Source organism: Homo sapiens, chromosome 10 (assembly GCF_000001405.40).
Source record: "Homo sapiens chromosome 10, GRCh38.p14 Primary Assembly".
Classification (NCBI taxonomy): domain Eukaryota; kingdom Metazoa; phylum Chordata; class Mammalia; order Primates; family Hominidae; genus Homo; species Homo sapiens.
In genome coordinates this window covers 117,435,424-117,458,385 of record NC_000010.11, presented here as the reverse complement: position 1 = coordinate 117,458,385, position 22,962 = coordinate 117,435,424, and the positions used below count along the sequence as shown (strand labels likewise).

The following is a 22,962-nucleotide window of genomic DNA, read 5'->3' as shown; positions in this document are numbered from 1 at the left end:
GGCAGAATAAGCCCTAAACCCCATTGGCTCAGGAAACACAGGAGGGATGGGCAGGCTGGACGGGAGTCTCCCTTCCCCCAGGAAGCCCTGCAGACGACCAGGAGTTTCCTCTGCAGACACATTGTCCCAGCCCATCCTCCTGTTCTCCCTCCCTCTCACCTCCTCCCTCTCTTCTTTCCAAACTCCTGGATCAGGGGGAATCTTATGATTCCAACAAACCTGCCTCGACGATGTCATATCAGGCTGCCCTGCCCCAGGGAAGAAAGGGCCGTGACCAGGACCGCCATCGGTGAGGGAGGAACCAGAATGCAGCTGCTGATGGAAAAACACAGAACTTCTGGGAAGAGGAGGCCAGAGGGCGGTCCTGTGAGTGAGGCTTCTCCTCTCCAAGAGGCCATGGCAGTTGCAGCTCCAGCCCTTCAAAACCAAGGGACATGGAATTGGCTCTGTGTCCTCAGTCAGCCAGAGGGGTGGGGGGCCAGGCCTGGGGAGCTGATTCAGGAAATCTAAAGCTGGGCCTGGGGGCATGTATTAACACAGTGCCCAGGTTGTGTGTGTTTGGCATTTGCCACACGGCTTCCAGAAGTAAGCTGGGGCATGGAGGAAGTTATTGAAACCCACAAGTCTTAGACTTTGAAAAGTGACCTCATTTAGTGCTCTTTTGCCTGTAATTACTTTGGTCTCCTTTCTTCTGCTCAACGGACCTGAGACAATAGCCATCAGAGTGAGGGAACCGAGGGTGACATTGCAGCACCTTCTCCACCCAGAGCTGCCAGCAGGGCTCAGGGACCAGGGGGAGGCAGGTGGCTCCTTCCAGCTCATCTACATACAATGAGCTCGTAAATCAGCTGGGCCATTCTTCTCCCTGCCTAGCTGGCCTCTATGGCCTGGGTGACTTGTCTGCTGGCCCCAGGCTGGCCTGTACCCGGTAGGGCAAGCTTGGCGTGGGGCCTGGGAGCCTTGGCCGGTCCATTCTAGAGGTGACCCCATGGCTGGAGTGCCCTCCTGCTCACATGGACCTGTCTCCCCACACAGGTGAGCAGCTTCCCTTTCAAGCCGGCATGCAGAAGCGGTCACAGCATTCCCCAGCCCAACCTTCTATTTATTCAGAAACAAAGAGACTAGCCCACGCCAGGCATCCTTTTCCTGCTGTGGAACCATGAGCAAGTTCTCCCACTGAGCTGGTGTTCGCTGTGACATGGGGAGAAAAGTGACTTCTGCTCTGAGGGTTTTTCATGAAGATTAAATGAGAAGATGCTGCATGGTGAAGTCTTTGTCCCCTTGGTGTCTCATGGCGTCCCCTTTCCTCTGGTCCTTCCTGCCTTCTCCCCTCCTGAATTGTTTCCAGATTCCACAGGAGGAGGCTGCTCTCAGCCCTCCCAGCAGGGCTAAGCCCCTGCTCCGGGAGCTGCTCCCACTTCTTAGAGGGCTCTGTGCCTAGCAGAGGTTGGCTTGTTTTTACCTGTTGGAATCAGAGGATGGCAGGGATTGGGAGGATTTTCTTCCTCTGGAGTATGGCCCCCAGAAAGGTGGAGAGACTCTCCCACAACACAGACGTTTCAGATCTGGCACTAAACAGATGTCTAGGAAACACGTCATTCAGTCAGTCTACAAACTCTGAAGGGGCCCCTTCTGGTCAGAAGGCTCAAGGCATATAGAGATAAGCCTTTTCCTCAAGGAACTCTTCAGGGCCAAAGGAGACACATCCTGGAGCCCCATAGTAAAGGGCTGCAACTGCAGGGATTTGGGACTTCAAACTCACTGTGCCAAAGGGGAAGTTAAGCTTGGGAAGTGAGTCACCAACACTGCCTTCCTTTTGTTCCCAAACAGATACCTATAATTTCACAACCTGGGGTCATAGCCTCATTGCCTCTACTCTCTCCTCTCACACATTTACTTTATTTATTTATTTATTTAAGACAGAGTCTCACTCCCTTGCCCAGGCTGGAGTGCAGTGGCACGATCTCGGCTCACTGCAACCTCTGCCTCCTGGGTTCAAGTCATTCTCATGCCTCGGCCTCCCAAGTAGCTGGGATTACAGGCATGTGCCACCACACCTGGCTAATTTTTGTATTTTTAGTAGAGACGGGATTTCGCCATGTTGGCCAGGCTGGTCTGGAACCCTCAGGTGATCCACCTGCCTCAGCCTCCCAAAGTGCTGGGATTACAGGCGTGAGCCACCGGGCCCTGCCCATGTTTATCTTATGTGAAATGTAGATTTACTGAGCCCAAGACAATGCATAATTGACTTTTTCCTCTACTCCTTCTTTTCACATGTAAAATGTAGATTTATTGAGACTTATAAGAGCCTCACAAGGATATATCTGTCTGCCTCACTGCCCACCTTCCCTCCCTTCCCCACCCCCTCCTGCTTGCTCTTTCTCCTTTAAATATGAAGTTCCCAAAAAACATAGGTCACAGATGCTCCTGTGATTTGTTTCCCCACCCCCAACTCTCCGTGGGTCCTTAATCTTGGCTAAATAAACCTCTAACCAATTGAGACACCAGCCTTTGTCACTTTTTGGTTTACAGAAGTCTTCATGGGTGCGGTTGGGACCCAAAGGTAGGAGTGGGTATCCCTGCATGGGGTAGAAGGCCAGGACTGGCTTCCTGGATAGAAGCCCTCATTTTAAGAACTGGAGGATGAGTTCAGGGTGAGGAAGCGCTGCCAACAATTGCACAGAGGCACAATGCACATTTGGGAAACCACAGGGTATTCTGTGTGGCAGAGCAGAGGGGCAGGCAGATGAGCAACTAGCCAGAGCACTCAGCGGAGCAGATTCCAGAGGACTTGTGGGTACTCTGGCCCGTGGGGAGGCCAGGACTCAGGGACAGGACATGATCAGACTCATCACTCATGCAGCACGAACCAGAGGGGAGGCTGAGGCCCCGAGGCTGGAGCACAGCAGCTGGAGCAGGCCTGGCCTGGAAAGTCACTGTGTTCAGCTGCCTATTTGCATGTCACTTGTTCCAGGGTAAAAATCCACCTATCAAGGAGTAGAGACCAATTAATATTTCTTACAGTTTTGCAAGAGAACCTTAAAGGACCACCCCCGCACCCTCCCCCCGGCACAAACATCTGCACACACAGTCACACTCATGCACAGAGCCACACAGTGACCCCAAACACCAGCCCTGCACCTTCCTCAAGCTGGGCATCCCAGGCCACCTCTCTTGGCCCAGCACATGCAGCTTTCCCAGATGGTGATTCAGGGCCTTGCTGAGGACACCTCCAGGCAGCTCCACAGGCAACAGAACACTCATTTTCAGAGTCGCTTCTTTTTAGCCCCATGAGCCAGCTTTGAAGCTGGCATTTTCCATCTTCCCAAATCGCTAGGATCCAAAAGAAAATGATAAGGAAACTAAATTCACCCTCCCGGAGAAATGGAAAACTTGGAGCACATTTCTTCATTTTTGTTGCATCTAATTCCATTGTTCTTAGGCTCGAGGGCGTATTAAGAATCACTTGTGTTTGTTAAATGCCAATCTCAGGTCTCACCTCAGATATGCTAGCTCTGTAAGTCAGTGTGGAGCTCAAGAATTGGCATTTTTAAGGTGCCCAGATGGTCAGAGACCACATTTTGAGAAAACAGAAATGTGGCACATTAGCCACAAAAGTGTTGAGGCTAAGGAGCCATTTCCTCCCTCTCTCACTTTCTCCTTTCCTGTGTGACCTTGGCTAGTTATTGCATCATTGAAGCCGTCATCATAAGCCAGGAAGGAAGAAATTTCCTAACTGTACTGACTCCATCAGAACCCCTGCCTCCCTGAGCAGGGAGAGGTGAGGAGTGGCAGATGTTGTTGGCTGCCTACCCCACAGCCATCCCCTTCCCCAGTCCATGCCTCTACACTCTTTCTTGCTGAATAGAACTCCCATTCTGTTCAGGAAACAAGGACTGTGTGTTCCATAGCAACCTGGGCCCCAGTCCTAGCCCTGGCCCCAGGAAGGAATCTTGATCAGTGAGGCAAGAGGTATGCCTGCCTCCCCGAAATGTCCTGATCCCAGAGGTGAGCAGAGTCACAGGTTCAAGGAGTTCCTAGTACTTCCCCTAGTACTACAGCTGAAGCCCTTTCCCCAGCCAGTGCAGCCTCTGGCATCTGAGGCAGATCCCAGCAGAGGATACCGGTGGCTGGAGATGTCTGCCTGGTCCCTCTAGGGTTCCAGCCTTTACTTTGGTCTCATGCTTGCTCTACTGCTCACTGTGGCTGGCTCTGAGAGGTAGGATTAGAGCCCAGGAGGCAAGTATGTCCACGTTTTACTTTAATCACATCTGGCTGACCTGGTTGCAATGAAATCCCTTAAAATGAAGGTGGGGATTGGTGGAGAACAGGAGGGGGTGGGAGGGTGTGGTCAAAAGAGACTTCCAGGACTTGCCTACAGCAAAAACATCCTGGGTTGAGGCAGGTGGAGGAAAGAGTGGTGCCCAGACCTTGGGTTCTTTCCCTGTCCCTTCTTGCTTCCAAACCCTGGCTTTGGTACCCACAGGCTGAACCCACTGATATGGTTTTGCTGTGTCCCCACCCAAATCTCATCCTGAATTCCCACGTGTTGTGGAAAGGACCTGGTGGGAGGTAATTGAATCATGGGGGCAGGTCTTTCCTGTGCTGTTCTCGTGATAGTGAATAAGTCTCATGAGATCTGATGGTTATTATAAGGGGGAGTTTCCCTGCACAAGCTCTCTCTCTGCCTGCTGCCATCCATGTAAGACATGACTTGCTCCTTGTTGCCTTCTGCCATGATTGTAAGGCTTCCCCAGCCACGTGGAACTGTAAGTCCAATTAAACCTCTTTCTTTTGTAAATTGGGCCAGTCGTGGGTATGTCTTTATCAACAGCATGAAAACGGATGAATACACCCACCCTTGCCCTTTCAAGTCTTGTTTCTTCTGTCCATGAGGCTTATTCAGAGGCTATATTCAGACCCTAACTCCAAAGCCAGTCTGGGAGCAGAGCCTGGGTGAAGCCAAAGTTGCCTCTATTTGATTCTTTTCTGTGCTACTCATGGTCTTGCTCTAACACTGCTTCTACCATTGCCTTTTTAAAAGATCTAATAAGTGATTCTTAGATATGCCAAAGAGGTGTAAAATATAACATAATTCATACCTGCATGCCCACCATTCAGCTTAAGAAACAAAGCATTTACCAATGGAGTTGAAGCTGATCCATTCTCTCTTCCCCCTTCTCAAAATCAGCTGACTCTTGTGCCTATCATATGGATTAAGTTTGACTACAAATAACAGAAAACCCAAAATAGTTACTCAAGTGAGCTAGAAGTTTACTGACCCTTGTAAGAGAGAGCTGGAGGGAAGCAGTTCAGGGCTTCTGTGGGAGCTCCACAGTCCCAGGACCAGCCGTCCCTGAGCTGCCACCTGCAGCACCATTTACACCTCCTGGACCAAGAGAGCTGCCACACTCCAGCCATCTCATCTACTTCAAGCCAGCAAAAAAGGAGAAATGAAGGAAAGAAGGGCATGTCACCTGCCTTAAGGGGACTTATTGAAAGTTGTACACTATGCTTCCCTTACATCCTATTGGCCAGAACTTGTCACAAGGCCACACCCAGTTGTGGGAGAAGCTAGAAGATGTTATTTTTATTCCAACGGGCTATGTGAAAAGGAGAGTGAAATTGGGAGACCCCTAGTGGTCTCTGCCACATCGTAGTCTTAACCAATATGCCGGCTTAGGACAGTAAATTGCTGAGGAATGGAGGAATGTTGCTTTTTAATTTTTTTAATTTTATTTATTTATTTATTTTTGAGACGGAGTTTCACTCTTGTCACCCAGGCTGCAGTGCAATGGCGCGATCTTGGCTCACTGCAACCTCCACCTCCTCGTTTCAAGCTATTCTCCAGCCTCAGCCTCCTGAGTAGCTGGGATTACAGGCATGCACCACCACGCCCGGCTAATTTTGTATTTTTAGTAGAAACAGGGTTTCACCATGTTGGCCAAGCTGGTCTCAAACTCCTGACCTCAGGTGATCCACCCGCTTCGGCCTCCCAAAGTGCTGGGATTATGGGCACGAGCCATCGCGCCCAGCCAGATGTTGCTTTTTTAAAAAAATTTTTAATATATGCCAAAAAAAAAGGATACAGATAATAGAGCTCAAAGAAATCTCATAAATGAATCATGATATAGACTGTAACCAACACCCCAGAAAGGCCACCTCCTGCCAAACAAGAGTCTGATTAGAAAATAAAATCCCAGGTTAGTAGCTGTCTCATTCCATGTTGGTTCATGAGAATTTAGTTTGCATCACTCCTTGTTCTTAGAGGACTAAGTTTCCAAATCCTTGTTCTTAGAGGACTATGTTTTCAGTTTCTGGTAATACTGGTAAGTGTTTCTCTTGATGAACGAGCTGAAACTGAAGGTGAATTTCCCTTTAGAAAAATCACGATCCACAGGGGGTTATATCCATGGATTTAGTTATAAGCTACATGAAATAAAGAGAGATGGCATTTATTATGCGCCTATTGTGTCAGCTTCTGTGCCGAATGAAGATGCTGCTTTTGAAAATACAACCAGTGGAAACACTGCTGTCCCCATTCCTGGATCTGTCACTGACTGGGGCTGTGTGATGTCACTTGAACCTGAAGTCACTTGAGCTGACTCTGCCTTCATTTTCTCATCTGCCAAATGGGGATAATATAGTGATAATTAAAAGAGGAAAATGTTGCCAACATGGTCTATAAATATAAAGCTCGGGCCAGGCATAGTGGCTCATGCCCGTAATCCCAACCCTTTGGGAGGCCAAGGTGGGTATATCACCTGAGGTCAGGAGTTCAAGACCAGCCTGACCAACATAGTGAAACCCCGTCTCTACTAAAAATACAAAATTAGTCGGGTGTGGTGGTGCAGGCCTGTAATCCCAGCTACTCGGGAGGCTGAGGCAGGAGAATCACTTGAACCCAGGAGGCAGAGGCTGCAGTGAGCTGAGATTGTGCCACTGCACTCCAGCTTGGGCAACAAGAGTGAAACTCCATCTCAAAAATCAATCAATCAATCAATCAATCAATCAATAAATAAATAAATAAATATAAAGCCTGGTGTAGACATTGCTTCCTTCCCCTTAGGAGGCCAAGTGTTTGACCAAGCTCTACCTACACAGTGTGTCTTTCCACTGAGCTTGCCCTCCTGGCTCCTAAGTGCCATGAAGGCAGAGGCCATCCCCACCTCCCATCCCTGAGCTGATGATGGAGTGAGCACTGAGACACATTCGATGGATGGAGCCAAGGGCTTGCTGTGTTTCCTTTTTCAACTGGATCTGAGTCATGCCTCCCTTTGCCTCCCATTGCGGCCCTCCTCTCCTGGATTTCTGGAAAAATCAGGCTGTCTGTGTGTTTTAATTTATGCTGCCTTCCTCCCTTCCTTTCTTGCTCTTTTCATACTTGCCAGCCCATATATATTTAGCTCTTTTCATATTTCTTCATAAATCATTCCTGCAAGTCAAGTCCCTGAAAATGTTTCCCCTGAAATCCCTCCAAACAGTATTTGAAACACTTACCTCCTGATAAATGCATCATGGACAATTTGGCCTGTCACTGCTGCCTTAGTGCCAGGAGAAAGACAATAAGGAAACTGGGGTGCAGGCTCTGGCACTCCGTGCTTTGTATACCCTTTCTTTTAAAGATGCTGATGGCCAGACGTGGTGGCTCATGCCTGTAATCCTAGCACTTTGGGAGGCCAAGGCAGGCAGATCACTTGAGGTCAGGTGTTCAAGACCAGCCTGGCCAACATGGTGAAACCGCAGCTCTACTAAAAATACAAAAATTAGCCAGGTGTGGTGGTGCATAGCTGTAATCCCAGCTACTCAGGAGGCTGAGGCAGGAGAATCGCTTGAACCCGGGAGGCGGAAGTTGCAGTGAGCTGAGATGGTGCCATCTCACTCCAGCCTGGGGGACAAGAGCAAAACTCCATCTCAAAATAAAATAAAATAATAATGAAATTAAATTAAATAAAGATGCTGAAACAGCATTGAAAGGTCCGGGGCGTTAATTTACTTTATGGTCTTCACAGGGGAGGAATAATCTGGGGTGAAGGGTCTGGGCTGTAGCATCTAAATGTCTGAGTTAAAATCCTGTCTTGGTCACTTATCTGTTGTGGAATCTTGGCCAAGTTACGTGACTTTTCTGTGTCTCAACATCCTCAGCTGTAAAATGGGAACGAGAGTTTACCTCACTAGGCAGTTACGAGAATTAAATCAGTTCATTCACACCATAGCATGTTGCCCGGGACATGGTAAGTGCTTGACAGATTCTAGCTTGTTGTTGCGTTTTTTCCTGGGTCTACCCAGTCTCCATCCTTTTCATCATTATTATTGGCAGAACCCTTGTTTTATGTTGGATGCCAATATAACCCGAGTTTTAAAATAATAGCTTTTCCTGCCTTCCCTTGCAGCCAAAAAAAGTCATGTGACACAGCTCTTGCCAGGGAGATGACAGCTGGAATGGTGAGTAGTGCACCCAGAAAGCTTTTTAAAGGGAGCAGACTGAACTGTCGTGTTCCTGTCTGTCTTTCTCCCCTTCCTCCTTTTTCCTGTTTAGAATGTGAATGTGATGTCTGGAGCTTCAGCAGCCATATTTGGACCATGAGCCCAATTGGAGAATGATAGTCCTGTGCCCAGGATGATGAGACAGAAAGAGAAAAGGAGCCTGAGTCTCTCCTCCCAGATGGCGCTGTGGAGCTGCCGTACCAGCCCTGGGCCGCCTGACTTTGGACTTCTTGTAACCAAATAAATGAATAAATAACCCCGTAATCTCTGTAAGCCCCCACTTGTCAGGTTCCTATTAGCAGCAGCAATGTACAATTCCTAACTGCTGCAAGCATAGTTTCCTGATGGGGAGCAGCTCCAATCAGAACTGGATAAGATCCTGAAGTGGTTTGCAAACTGCATTCTGCAGGAGCTGAGGGGTCCCATGAAGCCCCCTCTCAGACTGGAGATCAGGGGTGGGAGGAGTAAGGGACCACACTGCCTCTCCCCACCTCATCTTTTTTCCAAGTTTGTTTTAACTTACTGTAGGGGGAGACGTGGCCCAGTTAGGCTTTGCAGAAAGAATAGATTTCAGGACAAAAAAAATTAAAGGTTTGGAAGTCACTCTTCTTGTCCAACCCCCTCATTTTACAGATGAGTGATCTGAGGCCCCCAAAACGTCTTGCCAGTTAAGCTCAGCCAGGCAGAGCCAAGAGGAGAACCCAAGTTTTCTGCTCTTTCCGGGGGCCCAGCCAAGTGCTGGAACTGCCACACACAAAAAAAAGCTGATCCAAAGAGTTTACAATCGCTGACGAAGTCCCAACCCACCGAGCTCTGATGGGCTGCCTGCTCTTGGGGGAATTGGACAGGGCCCCTCTGGTTAAAACTAATGAGGGCTGGGAATGCCCTTTCAGGGCCCTGGGCAGCCAATTTGCCCTCCTGCTGAGTGAAAGTTGGACCCGGTTCCTCTTCTGTCTTTACAGTAATTCATTCACTGTTTGTTTATTTTTTTTAAAGCACACACACATTAGATGTGTGAAGCAAAGGGGGTGAATGGGTGGCATGAAATCCTCAATGCATGGGGCTCTTTGTCCCTGTTCTTGTAGTTCTCCTTTGCAAAATGCTCGCTTAATCAATTCAAGATCAATGGATGCTAAGTCGCAGCTGTAAACACCATCTCATTCAAGGTCAATTAGAGCAGCCCAGTGTTCTGTAGCAGGAAGTTTAACTGTGGGAGGGGGACGGGGAGGGCCTTTATCATGGAGTCTTCAATAAGTGTTTACAGAGCCCGTCCTTGTGGATTTGCCCTGTGTGGACACATTGGTCAACTTGGTAGAAAATACATCGCCACATGAGTGGAATAACTAGATGTTATAATAATTCAGAATATCTCATTCCAGGACTTTCACTAGAAACTCTTTTCTTCATCCCTCCATTCTATCCATCCATCCATCCATCCATCTACCCACCCACTCCACAATTATTTCGTGAGCAACTACTCATGTATCTAGCACTGGTGCAGAAGAAAACAGGCAGGGTCCTCACTTGGAGCTTTTTTGAGGGGAGCATAGAAAGCCTGAGAATGAACATGTAAATGAGTAGACAGAGAAGGAAGCCTGTGACAGAGCTGTCCTCAGCTGGAGAAGCAGCCCAGAGGAGGCCACACTGCACCCCCTCCATGGAGCAGCCAGGACAATGCAGGCCCCCCTACCCTCAGCCCCACCCCATCCCAACCCCAGGGCTCTGCTTTCCAGCTATGATGAACTCACAGGGCCTCTCAGAGTGTTCACTGATTATCAGGGGCCAGGCTCAGTGTTAAGTGTTTGGCTCAGATTCTTCTGCTGAACTCCTTTTGGAAACAGGTTTTTTCCCCCTACCCTCAGGTGCCCACAGGGAGACAAGGGCTGCAAAATCTCTCAGAGGAGCCCAAATACCAGGGTGAGCTTAGCAGCCCTTCACTTTGTGAGCACTGGGCAAGGCCCGAGACTGCTTGAAGACTCTTATTTGTAAACTCCAAAGGCTTCAGAACAGCTGTGTGATGCAAAAGAAAAAATCGCCATAAAATCAGGTTTCATGAATTCATTCAGCAACTATTTTAAGGCATGGAGGGGAACCAGAATAGATGTTACACTTGGAATTAGAGACCCAAGTTCAAATCCTTCCACCACCTCTCATTCTTCAGCAAGTCCTTAATTCACTGAGGCTCACTTTCCTAACTTGTAAAGTGGTGCTAACACTATCCCACTCATGTAACTGTGATGAAGATTTCTTTTTTACATGGGATTCCATAGCCGGTGACAGAATCTGCCTTGGAGGCAGAGAGATCCACTAAGAGACTGGGAGAGTGGCTTAGGCCAGGGGCACTAATGAAATTGCAGATGAGAACAATGGCTGGGAAAGATGCCGAAGTGCTAAGATCAACAGGACTTGGCAACTCCCTACAGAGGGGTGGGGGATCACCATTTGTGAAGGCAAGGAACTGGGAGAAGCTTGGGAGACTTGGTGGGCAGTGGTGCCATTGATACCCACTGGGGACACCAAAGATACTCTGTTTGGGAGACCAGTGGGCCAACCAGGTAGTCATCAGTAGGCACCTGGCAGCTGGAGACCGTAGGAGTCATCCACAGGTGGTCGTTAAAGACACGATGGGCATGGGTGAGGTCTGGTAGGAAACAAATGCCATTTTTGACTGTCCAACATAACACACACCTTCAAACAACTGCTCCTCCTCCATTGCCGTCATGAGTATTTGCAGGACTGACAGTCCCAATAAAATGCAAGGGGAGATAAGAGGCCTGGGCCCCTGGTCATCCAAGCAGGCAGCTCCCTTGGCCATGTGATTGCTGCAGTGGGGAAGATACGACTCAGCATGGGACACTCAGAGTCCTTCCTGGGGATTTTTAAATTTGGAATTAAAAGAGAAGGGGCTTTGTCTTTTGCATCCCCGAGTGGGAAGGAATTGAGACATACCAGGGGCCATCTTCTGTGGAATATGAAGAAAGCTAATTTGCTGGAGAGAATAAAGCCAATCAAAGGAAGCAGAGCTGAGAAATAGAGAGGGGGAGAATCCTGACTGCAACGTGTTCCTGATTCCAGTCTCAGAAACTCCCAAAGCTTCTGTGCTTTCCACATTACTTCCTTCAGTTCTTTGAGCTACTGCAGACATGAGAGTCATTAAATTCTCTCTTTTCAAGTCAGATTGAATTGGGTTTCTATCACTTGCACTCCAAAGAATCTTAGCTAACTTGGCTCTCAAAGGCAGAAAGATTACATAGCTGACTTTTAACACTTTACTATCCATATACCCATTTCAGAAGCTGATGGAAAGCTCTGGATGAATGCAAGAAAGGTTGTCTACAAGTTCAAGGTGGGGGAATCTCATAAAAGAGCCCAGTCATGGACTCCTAGAACCTCTGGGATACAGGAAACAGCAGAGAGCCTTGGGCTGATCCTTGGGAGACAGGTCATTTTCAGGAGACAAGAGGAGAAAGACTTGGGCCAGAGGCAGAATGAAAAGATCATAGAAATGGAAGGAGAATCAAGAAGGGACAGCATGGTGGAAGCCAAGGAAGAAGCATGCTCAGAGGAAGCTCCCGCCAGTGCATTGATAAAGGCTGTGGAGTTTGGGAACTTCATAATGGATGTTTTGGCGAGCTTAGCAAAGAAGTCATGGGGCAGCTCACAGAAGCCAGGTTGCAGGGAGGGTTCCTAAGAAGGAGTGAACCTTGAAAACACTATGCTAAGTGAAAGAGGCTAGATACAGGGGCCACATATTCTATGATGACATTTATATGAAGTATCCAGGATCAAATAGGGAAATCCACAGAGGCAGGAAAGAGATTGCCAGAGGCTAAGGAAGGGGGAATCAGCAGTGACTGCTTAACGGGTACAAGATTTCTTTTCAGGGTGATGAATTAGATAGTGGTGGTGGCTGCACAACACAGCAAGCACACTAAAAACCACTAAAGTGTACTTTGCTGTTGTTGTTGTTGCTGTTGTTGTTGTTGTTGTTGTTGTTGCTTTTGGAAACAGGGTCTTGTTCTGTCACCCAGGCTGGAGTGCAATGGCAAAATCTGGGCTCACTACAACCTCCACCTCCTGGGTTCAAGTGATTCTCCTGCCTCACCCTCCCAAGTAGCTGGGATTACAGGCACCCACCACCACACCCGGCTAATTTTTGTATTTTTAGTAGAGACAGAGTTTCACCATGTTGGCCAGGCTGGTCTTGAACTCCTGACGTCAGGTGATCTGCCCACCTCGGCTTCCCAAACTGTCAGGATTACAGGCATGAGCCACCATGCCCGGCTTAAAGTATACATTTTAAAGGGGAAATATTATGGTATGTAAATATGATCTCAGTTTCAAAAGCGAGTGAGGGCTGGTAGAAGGGAAGCAGCAAGAATAGAGCCTCCATGGAGATGCTTGGCAGAGGATCTAAAAGGAGCACTGGGTGATACCCGGAGGGAAACAGCAGGATCAAGGAAATGATTTTTTAGGATGAGAAACCCTGACCTCAGAGAGAAGGTGGGTGTGGTGGACAGAATGATGGCACCAAAGATGTCCCTGTCCTAACACCCGGAACCTGTGAATATATTACCTTACATGGCAAAGGGGACCTCAGATTGCAGGTGGAATTAAGGGTGCTGATCAGCTGACCTTAGCATAGGGAGATGATCCCTGGTTATCTAGGGGACCCTGTGTAATCACAAGGGGCCTTAGAGGTATGACTAGGAGGCAGAACAGTTGGTGTCAGGAGGTGAGATCTGAGAAAAACTCAACTGGCCAAGGTTGGCCTTACTGATGGAGAAAGGGAGTCACAGGCTGAGGAAGATGGGCAGCCTCTAGAAGTCAGAAAAGGCAAGGAAATGGACTTGACCCCAGGGCCTCCAGAAGAAAAAGCAACACTGTAGACACCTTGACTTCAGCCCCGTGAGATGCATGTCAGACATCTGAGCTGCAGAACTCTAAGATAAGTCTGTGCTGCTTTAAGCCACTACATTTTTTGGTCATGTGTTACAACAGCGATAGGAAACCAATACAGTGGGATGTTCCAAAGATAGGGATGACTAAATATCAGGAGGAAGACAGTGGCTATGAGATGGCGGTGATGTGGGAAGAACACTGGCCTCAAAGCCAAATGATGTGTGAAACCCCAAACTACCACTAACTTAACTGCACAGTCACAGGCAAGTCAGCCCTCCCCTCGCTTGGCCTCAGTTTTCCCACCTGTGAAAATGGGAGCATTGGGGTGATGACCTCTAAGGGATCCATCAGCTCTGATGCTCTGGTCCCTCAGGCTTTGCAGCTGCAGTCATTGGAACAGCATATGCTGAGTCTGCCTCTGCCAGGGTCCATAGGGAGGTTGACCTGATCATTTTGGTTTGTCAGAGAGGCTGCCCTACTGAAGGATGATGGCAAAGGACACTCAGCTGCTTTCCACAGAGGCAGCAGGGTTGAGAGGATCTGGGATAACCCCACTATCACCATCCCCATAATATATGTATTAGTCCATTTTCACACTCCTGTGAAGAACTACCTGAGGCCAGGCCCAGTGGCTCACCTCTATAATCCCAGCACTTTCAGAGGCCAAGGTGGGCGGATCACTTGAGGTCAGGGGTTCGAGACCAGCCTGGCCAACATGGTAAAACCCCATCTCTACAAAAAATACAAAATTAGTTGGGAATTGTGGCTCACGCTGTAATCTCAGCTACTTGAGAGGCTGAGGCAGGAGAATCGCTTGAACCTGGGAGGTGGAGGTTGCAGTGAGCCAAGATCACACCACTGCACTCCAGCCTGAGTGACAGAGCTAGACTCCACCTCAAAAAAATAAAAATTAAATTAAAAAATAACTACCTGAGACTGGGTAATTTATGAAGAAAAGTGGTTTAATTGACTCACAGTTCCACAGGTTTAACAGGAAGCATGGCTCAGAGGCCTCAGGGAACTTACAATCATGTTAGAAGGCAAAGGGGAAGCCAGCACGTCTTACCATGGTGGAGCAGGAGAGAGAGAGGAGAGAGAGAGAGCAAAAAAAGCCACACACTTTTAAACCATCAGATCTCATGAGAACGCACTCGCTAGCACTAAAACAGCAAGGGGGAAATCTGCCGCCATGATCCAACCACCTCTCACCAGGCCCCTACTGGACACATGGGGATTACAATTCAATATGAGATTCGGGTGGGGACACAGAACGAAACCATATCAACATATATCTTCCCAACCCCCTGAAAGTTAGTAGGGGCTCTGCCAACTGTCTCCCACTGGCTGACTTTGTTAATGAGTTTTGGTTTCAGAATCCTCCTCAACACAGTGCCCCACAAAGCCACTGTCAACCGAGCAGGACTGGCAGGTGAGGTGATGTCTACGTGGCAGCCTCGGGTTGAGATATTGCTGATACCAGCAACTTCCTTGAAGCCATAAACACCTTTGGGATTAGGTAAGACCTCAAAATTCTTTCCATCATAAACAGCAAACTGTGGGTTAATTAGTTCACCAAGGTTCTGGAGGAGATTCCTGATTTCAAACAATAGAAATCATCTCTGGCCAACTAAAGAGAAAACACTAAATCCCTATTGAAAACATTGAGTTGCTTACAAAATTTGACAAGAAGCAGAGGCAAGACTGTAGAAATTAACAGAACGGTCACGTTCATGACACAGGAAAAGTGTGATTGAGGCAACACTGTTGGCACGGCTCCCCACCGCTGCATTGGCCACTGCATTGGCCCCTCAGCTGCCGCGCTAAATAGCCTCTCCCTGAGCTCACCTTTTCCGGTCACGCTCAGGATTGAAAGTCCCAGGAGAAAGCGCCAGTTGCCTGAGCATAGGTTGGGTGCTGCCCCCTGGTGGCCGAGAGCAGAGAGACCGCCTCTGTCCCAATCAACTCTCACTTCCTCCAGCAGCTGGGGGGCCCTTCCCACCCTAACCCACTCTATGAAGAACGCACCCTAGTACCAAGTGGCTTCACATGCTAGGTCCCTTAAAAGGGTCTAAGGTTCCCTGCACTCAGATAATTTACTATGGAATGTTCCTTCTAGAAGAGAGTTGAAACCTACTAGTTCAACACTCCTGATCCAGAAGCACAGAAGGGCTGGTTAGTGTTGGCACCAGGGCTGCACACGGGCCTCCCAGCTTCCCATCCAGTGGTCTCCCTGCCCCGAGCCAATGTCCTCCTGCCTGCGACTGGCCTATGACAGCGTAGGACCCAGAGGCAGAGGACGTGGCATTGCCATGGCGACCCTAAGTCACAGCTTTTCCAAGACTGGATGAATTTCTTGAGCTTTCACATTTTTCTAAGCAGGGATAAGTAGTAGCTCTATGTGATTTAGTCCTTATACCTTGGTAAACATAGCTTTCCAATGAATATATTTACAGTTCAGCAAAACAAGCCTTTGCCATGTTCTGTTTTCCTGGATGTTCTTTCTGAGAATGTGATTGCCGCAGTGATAGGTCCCTGGGGGGGCAGTTCTGTTTGAACATCACAGTCAGGGTCTCTGGGCAGTGGAGCAGCAGGGGGACACAGTGTCTGGGATGAGAGGAAGAAGAGGAAACAGTAGGGAAGTTGGGCAGACAGGGACTGAGCTGGAACTTCTAGTGACTTCATTATTTTTCAGCAGGCTGGCACAGCGGCACTGGATCTTGGCTGGACAGGGCAATTAACAGCTCCCCAAGCTCCTAATGAGTCATTTTCTTGAGGTTTAAGCTGCCCGCAGAGTTTCCCAAGGGAATTTATTCCTGGAAGCTCACTCCTGAGAAGTGCCCTCCCCTGGGTGCAACTTGCCCAAGGCTACTGGATTTGGCCAATTGGTCAGAAACCAGGAATTCTGGGTCCAGAGACATACCCTGTAATTTAGAAGGGAGACTGATAGCGCTGAGCCATAACTCAGGCACACAGGATGGTGACTGGCAAGGACATTTCACTTTCTGGGGCAGCTGAGAGGTCTCACTTCCTCAAAACCCTCTTCTGAGACTCTCTTTCCACAAAGCGCCCGCCAGGCTTTGTATCTGGTTTAACCAAGGGTGGACACAGCCCCCAACGGCAGTGGTTTATAGTTGGACAGGAGCCAAACTCTGTCCTAGATCAGGGCTGAAACCAACCAGACTTTCTCCCGGAGAACTCGAACTTGACACTTGCATAAAATCTGTTACCAGGTAGTAGCAAGAGCAGTGGAAACCAAAGCTGCGGAGCTGAATTTCCAGAGGAGAGGACAAGGTGGCTGTGGCATGGCTGCTTGCAGGAATGAGGGGTACTTCTTAATGTGCCCTGTGGCTGGAAATCATCTGAATTTGTCTTCGTTCTTGGAGACCCAGAGTATCCCTGTCACACATCCAAACCCATGCACTCATAACCAAGGAGGCGACGGGACACTTATCTGACTGACTCAAGCCTAAAGGACTCCACTTTAGCCTTGCACTGGAGAGATATGGGAGATCCAGTGTAAATTGTTTTAATGTCTTCAGTTACTCACTTTAGTTTGTCTAAGAGACATGAACAAGGTTAAAATCTAACAGCAGTTGGGCACGGTGGCTCACGCCCATAATCCCAGCACTTTGGGAGGCAGAAGCAGGAGGATCACTTAAGGTCAGGAGTTCAAGACCAGCCTGGCCAGCATGGTGAAACACCATCTCTACTAAAAATTCAAAAAAAAAAAAAAATTACCAGAGTGTGGTGGCAGGTACCTGTAGTCCCAACTACTCGGTAGGCTGAGGCAGGAGAATCCCTTGAAACCGAGAGGCAGAGGTTGCAGTGAGCCAAGATCACGCCACTGCACTCCAGCCTGGGTGACTAAGTGAGACTCCACCTCCAAAAATAAAATAAAATAAAATCTAAGAGCAGTTGATTGTTCATCAAGGAGAAATATTATGGGTGGAACATCATCCTCTAGAGTCCAAAAATCTAGAAGGCTAGCCATTTAAGAACCTTCCTGCCAGATGCAGTGGCTCCCACCTATAATCCCAACACTTTGGGAGGTCAAGGCAGGAGGATGGCTTGAGTCCAGGAATTGAAGACCAGCCTGGACAACATACCAAGACCCCCCCACCTCCATCTCTAGAAAACAAATACAAAAATTAGCCAGGCATGGCAGTTCACCTTTGTGGTCCCAGCTACTCTGGAGGCTGAAGCAGGAGAATTGCTTGAGCCCAGGAGTTTGAGGTTGCAGTGATCCATGATCATACCACTGCACTCCCACCAGGGGGACAGAGCAAGACCCTATATCAAAAAATTTAAAAATGAAGAAGAAGAAGAACCTTCCTTCCACCTGAGACAATGGGAGTTGGTGGGAGGCCTTTGATTCTATGGAAAGTACAGACTTGGGTTCATTATGGCGGTCCCGAGAGTAACCACCCCCTGGTCTGCAGACTTAAGTGTGGTCTGCCAAGCATGGGCTGGCCCTTATGCCCCTCCAGCCCTCCAGCCACACCCAACAGCATCATACTGCTGTTTCCTGCTCCCTACAAACAGTTTCTACTCCGCTAGATGCCCTTCCAGGACCCAACTGTGTAACAAACTCCATTCCAACCTTCAATACTGTATGAACTAGGGTTATTTTGGTTGCATGATATAGAAACTGACTCTAGGTGATTAGAAGGGTCTGGGATGCCTCACGGGTACAAGAGTTGAACTGCCACGTCCCAGCGAGGGCAGAGATAGGACCAGCGAGGGGAGAGATAGGACTGCTCATGCATTTTGGAGCTATCACTCTAGAGAAGTGGTTCTCAACTGGGGGCGACTTTGTCCTCCAAGGGACGTTTGGCAATGTCTGGAGATGTGACTAGGAGTGGGATGCTACAGGCATCTGCTGGGTGGAGGCCAGGGATGCTACTAAACATTCTACAATGCACAGGACAGTGCCCTTAACCCCAGCAAAGAATTAGCCAGCCTAAATGTCAATAGTGCCAAGGTTAAGAAACCCTGCTTTAGAGAGCTTCTCTCACCGTGATTTAGTTCCAATGACGCCCAGCCTCCGAAACTCTCCATTCCAAATTTCAATTTACTGGGAGAGAAAACTTGATTGGCCCACATTGAGTGCTCATCCACCCCTGGATCTATCAGCTATGGCCAGGAAAACAGAGTTACCTAATATAAACTTGGTCACTGGGGACCCTTCTCTCATGTTGGGGACGTCCCCAGAAAAAAAAAAATGACTTTCTGTGGGCCATGTATGCCAAGAACAATGGGGCTGGGGCCAGACAGACGTCACCTCCCTCAGGAAGCCTTTCCTGCTCCATCTGCTCTTTGGGCTACGATTTTTTCTTGCACATGTTTGTTTTCACTGAATTGTGACTTGTTTGTTCATCTGTCCATCTCTCCCAGGAGACTTGGAGTTCTCTATGGAGTGAAACTGGGTCTTACTCATCCCTGAAAGCCCAGTGTCAATGTTCTGGTTATATAACACACTATTGCTACATAACATGCTGCCCAGGAAACCATCCCAAAGCTTAGTCACTTCAAGTAACCATCTTTTCACCTCCTGATTTTGTGAATCCAGAATTTCAGCAGGACTTGGCTTGGTGATTCTTCTGTTCCACACAGCCTCCACGGGGGTGACTCAGTGGTATTCATCTGGCAGCTGGGCTTGGCTGAGAGGTCCAACATGTCTTCTCACATAACTGGAGCCTTAGTGAGCAGCTGGAAGGCCAGGCTCAGCTGGGCCCCTCTCTCTAGCTTCACAGCCTCTCCACATGATCTTTTCAAATGGGCAGTCATATTTTGAATGTGGCAGATCAGGGCCCCAAAAGCAAATGTTTAAAGAAAACCTAGGCTAAAACGGAAAGCCTTCTTAAGACCTTAAACTGGAAGTCCCAGAACATTGTTTCAGCTACATCCTCTTGGTCAAGAAAGTCACTAAGAACAACCCAACTTTAAGAGGAAGGGGGCCAGGCATGCGGTGGCTAACTCTTTTAATCCCAGCACTTTGGGAGGCTGAGGCAGGAGGATCGCTTGAGCCCAGGAGTTCGAGACCAGCCCAGGCAACATGGCAAAACCCCATCTCTACAAAAAAAAAAAAAAAAAAATGAAAATTAGCCAGGCATGGTGACATGTGCCTGTAGTCTCAGCTACTCAAAAGGCTAAGGCGGGAGGATCACTTGAGCCCAGGAGGTCAAGGTTGCAGTGAGTTGGATCCCGCCACTGCACTCAGCCTTGGCAGCAGAGTGAAACCCTGTCTCAAAAAAAAAAAGGGGGGGGGCGGGTGGGGAAGGGAATTAGACTCCACTTCTAAATGAGACAGGTGGCATGCACCAACAAGAAGGGAAGAAATTGGTGGCAGACATTCTTCAAGATTGTCGTCCACAGCCTACTAGAGTAATTGTTCAATAAGCATTTAATAGATAAGTTAATTAATATGAAGACAGATTAGCCCTACAGAGATCACCCAGTTGATGTAATGGTTAAATGAAAATAAAGCACATGAAAAATGTTTTTGAAACTATCCAACGCTATAAAGAGGTAAGGAGCTGCTATTAGGAGCAAATTTAATATGCTTCCTCTGGTTTATGGATGACTGCTTGCAGGGTTCTCTCTGCTACTCTCCATTCCCACTTGCAAGGATTCATGACAGACATCACTTGTCAGTCACAGCTCTTTTGCACTTATGCTGGATATGGCCTCAGGATCCTTCTCAACACAATACTCCAGTCATCCACTACTAACCAATCAAAGTCCACAAGGATACCTATTTGTTATTTCCTGCCTAAATTCCTATTGCTAAACCATCCTCCAAAAGCCCAAGCTTTTAGTTTCTTTAAACATGCATGCAACTGCTTCCTTTAAGAGAGAGAGAGGAGAGAGAGAGAGAGAGAGAATATAAAGCTGAAGCCCTAAGCAAGATGAAATGGCAGACACCATTACCCTCCAAAATTGGATTTATAATGGAAACAGAAACTGATTATGGTGGTGAGCTCTGCCATTATGAATTAGTTTAAAAAGAAATAACTGCAGCTGGGCACAGTGGCTCATGCCTGTAATCTCAGCATTTTGGGAGGCCAAGACGGGCGGATCACAAGGTCAGGAGATCAAGACCATCCTGGCTAACACGGTGAAACCCTGTTTCTACTAAAAATACAAAAAATTAGCCGGGCGTGTTGGTGGGCACCTGTAGTCCCAGCTACTCAGGAGGCTGAGGCAGGAGAATGGTGTGAACCTGGGAGGCAGAGCTTGCAGTGAGCTGAGATCGTGCCACTACACTCCAGCCTGGGGGACAGAGCAAGACTCCGTCTCAAAAAAAAAAGAAAAGAAAAGAAATAACTGCATGCAAAAATAGTCATATGACATCTCATAAAGGAGAGAATCTGTCTACCTTGACATATTTTCCTCTGAGAAAACTCCAGCTCAAGGTGAGGCAAGCCAAAACTTGCATGTCTGGATGAATGAAAGCCACATGGGCTGACCACCATCCGCCTCCACAGTCATCACCTACCCACAGATTCCCCTGACACTCATCCTACTTGCCATGCAGCTTGTTAGGAATTTGGAAGGTACGCTTTTTTTTTTTTTTTTTTTTTTTGAGACAGAGCCTTGCTCTGTCACCCAGGCTGGAGTGCAGTGGTGCGATCTCGGCTCGCTGCAACCTCCACCTCCCAGGTTCAAGCAATTCCCCTGCCTCAGCCTCCCAGGTAGCTGGGACTACAGGTGTGCACCACCATGGCTGGCTAATTTTTTGTATTTTAGTAGAGACAGGGTTTCACCATGTTGGCCAGGATGCTCTCAACTCCTGACCTCATGATCCGCCCACCTCAGCCTCCCAAAGTGCTGGGATTACAGGCGTGAGCCACCACGCCTGGCCGGAAGGTAGATTTTAACCACTCAATTAAAGTGTTCAAGGAAAAACAGAAGCAAAAAAAGCACATATAAAACCCCCTCTAGTTCTAAACTGGCTCTCTTCCATCTGATCGCTGGGGACGCAAGGCCAACAGCAGATCATACTTGTGACAGGGCGAGTGGCCCTGAAAAGTGCCTCTCTTCCTTTCTGAGCCCCAGGGTCCTGTCCCTGCCCTCAAGCAAGAAAACAATCAGTAGTAGTTGGAGAGGCCCACTCTATGGCTAAAGGCCCCAGGATTAAGAATGAGCAGACTTGGTTCCAGTCTCAGGGATGCCACCTATTATTGGCAGGTCACCTCACATCTCTGAGCCCATTTACTCATCTGTGTGATGGGAACAATAATAAAGATGGCATGGAGGGAGCTGGGTAGATCAAAGGTGGTGATGGATGAGAAACTGGGAACCCTGTCTTCACGGCTGTGCCAGAAGCCACTGGCAAAATATCAAACAGAACAAGCAAACAATCAGCTTTCCTAATGTCAGCTACCCAGCTTTCTCAAATGCAGAGAATCCCAGACTGTGTAGCTGCCCTTCCCTGCAAGGCAGGGATCAGGCCCTAGTGATTGGGACCATACTTCATGGAGCTGTGTTCCATACCATCTGCTTGTAAACAACTCAAATAAAAGAGTAATAGCTAACCTTACCAATACTGCACTACAAACCAGCAACTGCACTAAGTGTTTTAGAAACAATGCTATGAAGTAGGTAGAAGGCATTCTTGTTCTCATGTTACAGACAAGGAAACTGAGGCACAGAGTGGTTAAGTAGCTTACCCAAGGTTTCCCAGCCAGCCAGTGGCAGATTTGGGACTCACACCGACAGAAACCAGTTGTGGAGGCTTTCGTCGTTAGGTCACGCTGCCTCTCCAGAAAATGAGGATGGCTGGAAAAAAGTAGGGGCAAACAGTTCAGTCACAAAGAGTCTCTCTCCCTCCACTTCTTACATTTTGGGAGCAGGAGTTTCAACCTTACACTGGAAGGAGATAAATGAACTTGAGCTGCAGGTAAAAACGTGCAAATCTCACATTTGATGTCAAGCATTGTGTTGAGTGAAAAAGCAGAAGAATGATACACTATGATGTTATGTACATACCAAAAAAAATTTTTTGAGACAGAGTCTTGTTCTGTCACCCAGGCTGAAGTGCCATGGCACTCATAGCTTACAGCAGCCTCAACTTCCCAGGCTCAAGTGGTTCTCCCACCCCAGCCTCCCAAGTAGCTGGGACTACAGGCATGTACCACCACATGCAGCAAATTTTTTATTTTTGTAGAGACAGGGTCTCACTATATTGCCCAGGCTGGTCTCTAACCCCTGGGCTCAAGTGATCCTCCTGCCTCAGCCTCCCAAAGTGCTGGGATTACAGGCATGAGTCATCTTGCCCAGCCCACAGAGTTTTAAAACATATAAAAGATTATGTATTACCTAGAGATTCATACACAAACGGCAACAGCATCAAGACATTCCTGGGAATGATGAACATCTCCTTCATAATTCACCTCGGAAGCAGGGGAGGGATGAATAAAAGCTTTCTAATATATCTGTATTTTAAAAAATCAAGGTGGATGATAGGAACATGGGTGTTCAGTAAATCACTCTTTATGTCTTTCTCTATGTATGAAATATTTTTTGATTTGAAAAATAATTTTCCAATGCTAACAACTCAGTGTTGGTGTC

General features: G+C 48.0%; 1 long non-coding RNA gene across 1 annotated transcript; it reads right to left on the bottom strand.

The window, feature by feature from the left end:
• Positions 1 to 2,876: 2,876 nt before the first annotated feature.
• Positions 2,877 to 22,155, bottom strand: LOC105378502 (uncharacterized). The gene is made up of 3 exons (XR_946344.1): positions 22,062 to 22,155; positions 3,142 to 3,333; positions 2,877 to 2,987 (listed from the first exon to the last, which is right to left on the bottom strand). It is a non-coding gene; the product is annotated as an uncharacterized LOC105378502 (long non-coding RNA).
• Between the last annotated feature and the right edge of the window lie 807 nt (positions 22,156 to 22,962).